The following is an 8,971-nucleotide window of genomic DNA, read 5'->3' as shown; positions in this document are numbered from 1 at the left end:
AGCTATGGCCTTCACATGAACTTCCACCAGCAGAGGCCCCTAACTGGACTTGGCCCCAGTGGATGGACAGGAAATTGCCTACCATGCTGGCCACGCTAACTAACTTTCACTGCCTGGCTACTGGCAACCCCACTCTTTCCATCTCCTGGCTGAAAAACCACAACAGTTCTAAGGAGAGCATCACATCAGGACATCGAGGTGGCCCTGGAAGTTGGTGAGAGTGTGGCCTGAATGTGGAAGGTGGGACCTGTCTTCCATTTATCTGCACTTCCACCTGGAGCTGTGGCACCAGCAATAGAGCCTGGTCATGAAGTGTGGCACCCTCAGACTGCTGTCGCTCACCTCTGTGATGGAGAACAAGTTCAGCAGCCCTCAGTAGACATGCATGCTGGGCATCTGGGTGAGGGCTGTGACACATGGGCAGGGGGCAGGAAGGTGGGCAGCCTCTGAGGCCCCATTCATTCTCTCAATGTGCTCTCCTGACCATACCTTTCTACCCACAGGCTTCTGGCCAACCAGACCCAGCAAGGTGGAGTTCCACTGCAAAGCACACGGCAACTTAGTATGTGGAGGTAAACAGCAGCAAGGTGGGTGACAATGGCATGCCCTATGTCACTGTGCTGAGGGGAGATGCTATTGCTTGCCAGGAGCATGGGGATGGCAGGCCCGGGGCTCCACTTCACTAAACTCTACCATCATCATAGAATATTTGGAGTAGCCTATGAAAGACAGTATCATGTCATCAGCCAGGAGACAAAATCCTCTTGATCAGCTCTCCTGGATATAAACTTGGTGCTGGTTCATTTAGCATCTGCTATGAACCAGTGTCTACAATTAGAGGCAGTTTTTCCTACAGAAAGATCATATGAGTCATATGAGTCATAAAAGTGGGAAGCACTTCTGTTAGTATTGTCTCTCAAAATTCATTCAAAACATTTGCTTCTGCCTTTGCAACTTTATGTTCTCTGAATTCCCTCACTGAGTAAAAACCTCCTTGATGAGCTTATAATCAATCTCACATATTTAACAATGTGGGTTTCATCTTAAATTCCACTATAAAATATGGAACAAAATCTATTTGATTTATAGTAGATGTAAAACAAAAAATTAGGATGGGCTATTCTTGTGGGCAGCAAGCCACCCAGGTGCTGAGCCAAGAGATAGAAAGCACAAGTTGTTCCAGTATAATAAAGAAAATATAGAGAATAAGAATAGTCATACTAGAAATAGAATATAGATATGATTATATATGAATATTATTATTATTAGTTTGTAGCATTACTCTTTATTCCAATATTATAATAATGTCCGTTCTACAATTATAACCTAGGAAAGACCAGGCCATACAGAGATAGGAGCTGAAGGGTGATAAGTGACCAGAAGAGTGTGAGCCCTCAGTTATGCCCAGACATGGCCACTAGAGGGCTCCTTGGTCTAGCGGTAACGCCAGTGCCTGGGAAGGCACCGGTTACTTAGCAGACCGGCAAAGGGAGTCTCCCTTTCCCTGGGAGAGTTGGGGAAGACTCTGCTCCACCACTTCTTGTGGAAGGCCTGACATGAGTCAGGCCCGCCCGCAGTCATCCAGAGGCCTAAACCTCTTCCTGTGGTGCTGTGCTTCAGCGGTCACGCTCCTGGTCCACTTTCATGTTCCGCCCTGTACGTCTGGCTCCACCTTCTAGAAAGCAGTAGCAGAATTAGTGAAAGTATTAAAGTATTTGATCTCTCCGAGAAATACATAAAAGAAATAATGAATATGTCCTAAGCTGTCCCCTCTCTCCGCCTCGGCTACCAAATAAGGAAGGGCCCCCTGTCCGGTGGACACGTGACTCACGTGACCTTACCTATCATTGGAGACAACTCACACTCCTTACCCTTCCCTCTTGCCTTGTATACGATAAATAACGGCGCGACCGGGCATTCAGGGCCACTACCAGTCTCCGCGCGTTGGTGGTAGTGGTCCTACGGGCCCAGCTGTCTTTTCTTCTGTTTGTCTTGTGTCTTTATTTCTACGATCTCTTGTCTCCGCACAGGAAGAGAAAAGCCCACAGGCCCTGTAGGGCTGGACCCTACATACTTGGGACACGTAGAATTAGTTCCTTTTATATTTATCAGTTTTCTACCAACCTGTATTTATTACAATAAAAATAATGCTAAAATATGTTTATCTTATTGCGTGGAGTTGAAATGGACACACTTGATAACAGAATATTAACTAAATGAACAATGAAGCCTATTTTTTTCAGTTTTTTAAAAATTTATTTTTAAAAAGTTTTTTTCCAGTGTAAAACTGCACTTGATTAAATCTACTCCTAATCTACCCCTAAATCTACTCCTAAATCTACTCCTAATCTACTCCTAAATCTACTCCTAATCTACTCCTAAATCTACTCTTTCTTTTTCATACATATACAAATGGAATTGTTTTCTTAATTTTATTTTCAGGTTGGTCATGGTAGTATATAAAATACAATTGAACTTTGTATATTGATTTTATATATTGTGACCATGCTGAACTCATTTATTGGTTTTAGTGGGTTTTAATGAATTTCTTGTAAATTTTTATATTCAAGTTATGTTATCTACAATGATAGACATTTCTAACCTCTTATTTTCCCACATGGAGGACTGTGTTTATTTTTCTTATGTAATTTCTTTGGATGTTAACCTTTTCCTCTTGTTCTCAAATGTCATGACACAACAACCAGTATTTTATTATTATGGGGTTAGCTGTAAGTTTTTCATTGATGCCCTTCAGCAGATCTAGGAAGTTTCCTTATACTCCTCCTTTCCAGGGAGACTAATTGTGAAGGAATATTGAATTGGTCAAATGCTCACTGTGTCTGTTGAAAGGATCTTTCTGTTACTTTCCTTTATCCTATTATTTTGTGTAATGCATTGATTGATTATTGGATAGGTCAACAATTCAGTGTCTGTCTGTCTATCACCTGAGAAAATGATTTGGAGCATACTGTTTGAATCCTGAAGTTGGAGTCAGTAAATTTCATGCAGAAATTTATTTTGACCATGACTTAACGAAGTTATGTCCTTGTAGATAAAGGCAGTCAAAATGGAACAATTGTTCATGGAAAACAGATGGTTCAGCTGCAAACTAAATGTGACCCTTATGTCCTTGAGCATAGACATGAAGTGAAAATTGGAGAGACTGTGTTACCCTTTCACATTCACCCTGGCAGCGATACTTGTGATGGCTGCGAGCCACGGCATGGTAGAGCTCACCTTTGCCTTGATAAGAAAGATGAATTGTTTACTGGTCCAACACTGAGTAAGGAGAAAAAAAGAGTTGGGAATAAGAAAATAATTAAAGAAAATACGAGTAAAATATGGTTTCAGAATACAGACTATGAAGATGAATAGACATGGAAGAATCTAAAATATAAAGATAGAGCTGGAAAACATATGGAGCAGATTGGAAGTTAAACAACTTTCAAAAAGATGATGCTCCTGCATCTGTTTCTTCTGAAACTACTGACAGCAACAAAGGTCAGAAGATGTTGGAGAAGATGGATTAGAAAAAAAGAGAGGGTCTGGGAAAGGATGGCGGGGAATGAAAACTCCAATTCAGCTTCAACTTCAGCCTCAGTGAACACATTAGGCGTGGGGACATGCAATCCATACTCAATTGAAGATGTTCACATTTTCCAAAACAAAAGCAAACAAACTGTGACAAAGCATGAGATAGGTTTGCTGAAAACTTCCCAGAAATGAAACCTTAAAGAGAAGACCTAGGGACCACACCTTGGGTAAAAGGGACTGTAGAGTGAGGTTAATCATAGAAGAAAACTCAAGCTTTAAAAAAATAGAGTTTGGAAACTCTTATTTATTTTATTTTAACAAAAACCATATGGTTGTTCCAATGAAGATTAACTGACAGAATCTGTGGGGAGAGCACAGGTGATGGTATTTTTTTAAAGTAGTCATGTGATTATGGTTGGACGCCTAGGCTGAGAGACACTTAGCTAAGCCTTGCCTCTTAAGTTTCAATGTACATATAAATCATTTCTGATTCCTCTCTGATTACATTACTCTCTTAGTAATGTAATTCTGCAGGTTTGGAAGGGGTCCAGGAATTGGCTTCTTTAAAAAGTTTTCTCTTAATGCTGATGCTTCTCCCAGTACATCCATTGTAGTAGCACTCAGCTAGAGAAAGTAGTCACAGGACACAGAGTTCCTGACACCCAACACTGTTACCACAACATAAATACTTTTGGCCCAAAGTGGAAATCACCAATCACTATTAACAAGCATGTTATTCTCTGCTGGCTCTTTAAAGTTTACAGATGCTAGAGAACATTAGAGTAGGCCTGCATTTGAAAAACATGTATACATGAGTTAATACAATGTTTATTGAGCATGTACTATGTATTCAGAAGTATGTTACACAGCTGTGCTGGAAACATCACATGGTGAGTTCATCCTTATAGCTTCCTAGAAGTTGGGTACTAAACATTCTGTAATTCCCCGGATTGAATGGCCCAGCATTTCTATGTTTTCTTTTAGTTTTAAAATAATTTACCTATAAAGAAAATGTGTAGAATAAAAGCTGTGTAGCTCAGAGGGATACAGAAAGAAAGGGTGAACTGCTCAGAAGGATTTTTTTGGTATTTATGTTGACTTTCTTGTGCCTTGTAGAGCAACTACTGGATCTGCAGAAATAAACTGCAGGTTGCTAGGTGGGATTTCTCTAGAAGCACTGGCTTCAGTGAAAAAAAATTGTGACCCAGAAATGTATAATTATTTGCTCCCATTTATCTGCTTTTTTTTTTTTTTTTTTTTTTTTTTTTGAGATGGAGTCTCGCTCTATCACCCAGGCTGGAGTGCAGTGGCGCAATCTCGGCTCACTGCAAACTCCGCCTTCCGGGTTCATGCCATTCTCCTGCCTCAGCTTCCTGAGTAGCTGGGACTACAGGTGCCCGCCACCGTGACCGGCTAACTTTTTGTGTTTTTAGTAGAGACGGGGTTTCACTGTGTTAGCCAGGATGGTCTTGATCTCCTGACCTTGTGATCCACCCGCCTCGGCCTCCCAAAGGGCTGGGATTACAGGCATGAGCTACCGCGCCTGGCCATCTGCTTTTTATTTTCAGGAAATTGTGGGCTGTAGCTCAGGAGAGGCAGCAGGAACCACCACTCAATTTTCTGATCTCCTTTAATTAGTTCTGTGAGAGGAGATTCTAGAGTGAAGCCCAATTCAGATGAGGCCTTAGAAGAGGGTGGATCTGGGTAGGGCTGGGACAGAAAGTGGGTCCCATGTGGCTGATGTCTATGCTGGTGCAGTATTTCTAGTTCTGTCTTTCTTAAGCCTGCCCTGTAAAAACTTGACTTCTAGAGTTTGTATAATTTAATCTATTTTAGCCATTTCCCTGTCAATTTTTATAACACACAATAACAAGGAATTAAAAAAAAAACACTTAGGGTGTTTTAGGACAATTAAATGGGAAGCTAAAAAATTATTTTTACTGAGGTAAAAGAAATAGGAATAATCACAACAATAACAATAATTCTTCTGTCTGTGAATTGCACTTCAGGTGGTGACATCAGATCTCACAACAACAACATAAGGGAAGTGGAACAAATGTAACCAAAGTCCCCTGTACCCCTCCCTTCTCTCTTCTGACCACAGAATGTTGAATTCAATCATTTAGCCATTTGCTCTGGAATGAAAGTATCTGGACAGTAGAAACCATGAGTGTTTCATCTGTTTTTCTAATGGTCATATGATATAGTTGAGATGTCCCCTCCAATCTCATATTAAACTTTAATCCCTAATGTTACAAGTGGGCCTGATGGGAGGTGGTTGAAGCATGGGGATGGATTCCTCATGGCGTTGTGCTGTGTTTGTCATGGTGAGTACTCACGAGATTGGTTGGTTTAAAAGTGAGACCTATCCCTCCCCCATCTTTCCTGTTCCCATTCCTACCATGTGAGATGCCTGCTCCTCTTTCATCTTTCACCGTGACTCTAAGCTTCTTTATATGTTAATGTTGTTACACAATTTAACTCAATTTTCTTATAAAATTAACTGACAAAATTTTACGTTATTATATCATAAAAATAAATAAATATGATATCACATATGTGTTATGACATCACAATATATTATAATACCATAATTTGTATGTATCATGACATCACAATGTACATGACACCATAATTTGTATGTATCATGACATCACAATATTTTATGATATCATAATTTGTATGTATTATGACAGCACAATATATTTTGATATCAATTCATATGTATTATGACATCACAATATATTAAGGTATCACAATTCATATGTATTACTATGATATTATAATAACATTAAAATTTTGTTAGGTAATTTATAAGAAAATTGTGTTAAATTTTATAACAACATTAACTTATAAACTTAATAGAATCTAAGAATATTATCTGCTCTTGTGTAAATGACTGCTTAAGATATTATAACATATATTCAAAATTTGTTTATATATCAAATAAATTATATATAATATTATAGTATCAATATATAATGATATTATAAGTTCCATTTAAATCCTATTTAAATTCAGACAATTTTATTAGGCAGTGTCTGTCTGTCTATCACCTGATTTCTTGGGGGTTCCACTATTTGCACACAAACAGCACAGCTGGGAAAACACAGAGTCACCCAGCACAGGCTCTTCCCTGGATCTTTCCCCTCCTCAGGGCATCAGTTCATCAGTCAACCAAGCCATCTGAGAGCGGAAGAGCAAGTACTCTCTACCATAGAAGTTCTTATTCCTGCATGCTTTTCTCAGAAGAGGGAAAAACAAGAAGGTCATTTTAGGGGACACTTGCTGGGACATGAACTAAGTCTTCTACAGTTTGATAGCTCTAACCAGCAGATACAGATTTCTTAGTAGGAAGGAATGAGGCAGCTGTCCTGAGCCTGGAAGCTCCATCATACCTTGTTCCATCTTGTTTAGGTGATTTTGAGAGGCTGCTCTGGAATATGTCTCAATGGTGGATGTTGGGAAACAACACAGGCTTTGATGGGACTCAGGTGGTGTTTGTTGTGTGAAGACACAGGCTGAATGCTCAGGATCTAGGCTGTTTTTCTTCTGGTCAGTTGTGTTACCTGTTTGGGACCAAGTCCAGTTTTACTAGAGAGGCTGAATAAATTCTAAAAAACAAAGTAGAGCTTTGAGGAAGGGTGACAAAGGGGGAAAGTTTCTCTCTCCACCTAGACTTTTTGCTGCCTCAGGAATCACAGGCTGATTAAATTACTGTCAGCTCTAATCTAACCAATTCAATTCAATTCAATTCAATTTGATCTAATTATCTTCCCCCTTGTTAACGTAGAAATAGCCATTTTATTTGGTATTTACTTTTTCTCCACTTTTTATTTTATCAAATATGTATTTATCTAATACAATCAACCATAATTTTAATTTGACATTTCCAAGCATTTGAAAAATTATATCTATGTACATGATTTTAACACTACGTATAATGCTCTTCCTTTGCAAAATGTATAAAACAGTTCAATATAGATATGTTTAATTCTGCATCTTGAAAAATAAGCAGTATCAAAATACTTCCAGGTAGGAATTGGGACAGAAATTAGAAAAAATGATTCCCCTATCATCTGATTTCTGTGCCCCTGACTTTTTTAGTTTTTGTTTTTGACACTATGGCAAGACCCAGAAAGTGTCTCCCATTAACTGTGTTTAGGTCCCTAATAAAATTACAGCATTAAACTTATCTTATTGAGGCCCTAATGAGGAAGGAAAAATAAAACTGTTCAGCCAATAAGAGTAAGCCACGCCCAGCTGAGGGACATATAAAAGGCAGGTCTAGGAGAATAACTCACACTGTGAATCAGGACGTGTGAGAGAGAGCAGCTTTCATTTGAGTTTGAATGAGAGAAAAAGAAATGAAGACTCTGATCCCCCACTACTCCTCCATCCACTGTCCCACTGACCAGCCTTCTTTCAAACAGATCTCCTTTACAGAAAAGGGCTAAGATGAGAAGAAACCACTCAAAGAAAAAGGCAAGACCCCCGTCCTGCCACTCCAGTGAGAAACACATGGAAAGGCAGGGTAAGGCCTTGCGCTGTTCCTATGAAGTCTCCAAGGAGGGTTGGAATCAGGAATACTGAGCTATGTGTCTTTAGTGGGGTTTTATTTCAAAATTAGGAACGGGAAATGGCTTAGGTCCCTGAGGAGGCTTTGAGAAATGTGTTCACTCATGACATTGGCAGAAGAGCTTCACTTGAAAGACTGATCCAGAAATATTTGTCAGAGATAGACTATGGGACTCTGTGCCTGGGAGAAGCAAGTCACCTAAACTCCATGTTGCACGAGGATCAGAGCCCAATCTAAATGAAGAGAAGAATTCTGAGATAATTAAGCTCAAAGCCAGAAACAGCACTGCTAGGTGAGGGAAAATCACAGGAGACCTGTGATGCCCACCACGGAGGGCCTTTCATAGTTTACACTAGGTGTAGCAAGTGGCACAGTTATTGGGCCCGAGGAGTTCAATAGTCATCACTTCGGAAAGCTTTGTGACCTTGCAATGTGTGTCAAAGTCCACTTATCAAAATCTATCCCCAGGTGTTGGTTCAGCAGGTCCATTTTCCACTGACCTGGGAGAAACTCACTCAGCTTGCCTGGCTCTGGGGCCTCTTTGTGCCCAGGAGCAGACCTTCTATGCCATGACCACCCAGGCAGGTTGTGTCTTCCCTGCTAAGAAGTGGCTTGTTTCAGCCACACTGCCTGGCCCTGAGAATTCAGCTCTGGATAGAGAAGACCACCCCTTGCCTGGGCAGGAAATAACTGAGCCTGTCAGTGGATTAGATGAGGCTTGAGCTGGGTGCACATTGAACCCAATGTTTCAATGTGGAAGATTAAACAGTTAAAACATGGACAATGATCCTATTCACCCTATTCAGCAGAGAATACACTCTTGGAATGAGAGCAAGAAACTGCTACTTCTCAGATTCT

At 40.1% G+C, this 8,971-nt stretch overlaps 1 long non-coding RNA gene and 2 pseudogenes across 2 annotated transcripts in view; 2 read left to right on the top strand and 1 right to left on the bottom strand.

The window, feature by feature from the left end:
* Window positions 1-1,268: 1,268 nt before the first annotated feature.
* LINC01566 (long intergenic non-protein coding RNA 1566) overlaps window positions 1,269-8,971 on the bottom strand; it is a 28,298-nt gene continuing 20,595 nt past the window's right edge. The window contains exons 6-7 of one of the 2 annotated variants that reach the window (NR_027080.2): window positions 6,933-7,103; window positions 1,269-1,675 (exon numbers count right to left, since the gene is read on the bottom strand). This is a non-coding gene — a long non-coding RNA (long intergenic non-protein coding RNA 1566). Of the gene's footprint in view, window positions 1,676-2,394; window positions 3,280-6,932; window positions 7,104-8,971 lie in introns of those variants that run through there. The other variant, NR_027079.2, reaches the window with a different exon arrangement.
* Window positions 2,948-3,857, top strand: AGGF1P4 (angiogenic factor with G-patch and FHA domains 1 pseudogene 4; annotated as a pseudogene).
* On the top strand, window positions 7,896-8,838 carry FRG2GP (FSHD region gene 2 family member G, pseudogene; annotated as a pseudogene).

The sequence above is a fragment of the Homo sapiens genome, chromosome 16, assembly GCF_000001405.40.
Source record: "Homo sapiens chromosome 16, GRCh38.p14 Primary Assembly".
Taxonomy (NCBI): Eukaryota; Metazoa; Chordata; class Mammalia; order Primates; family Hominidae; genus Homo; species Homo sapiens.
The sequence above is the reverse complement of the archived record's forward strand: the minus strand, read 5'-3'. Positions and strand labels throughout refer to the sequence as shown.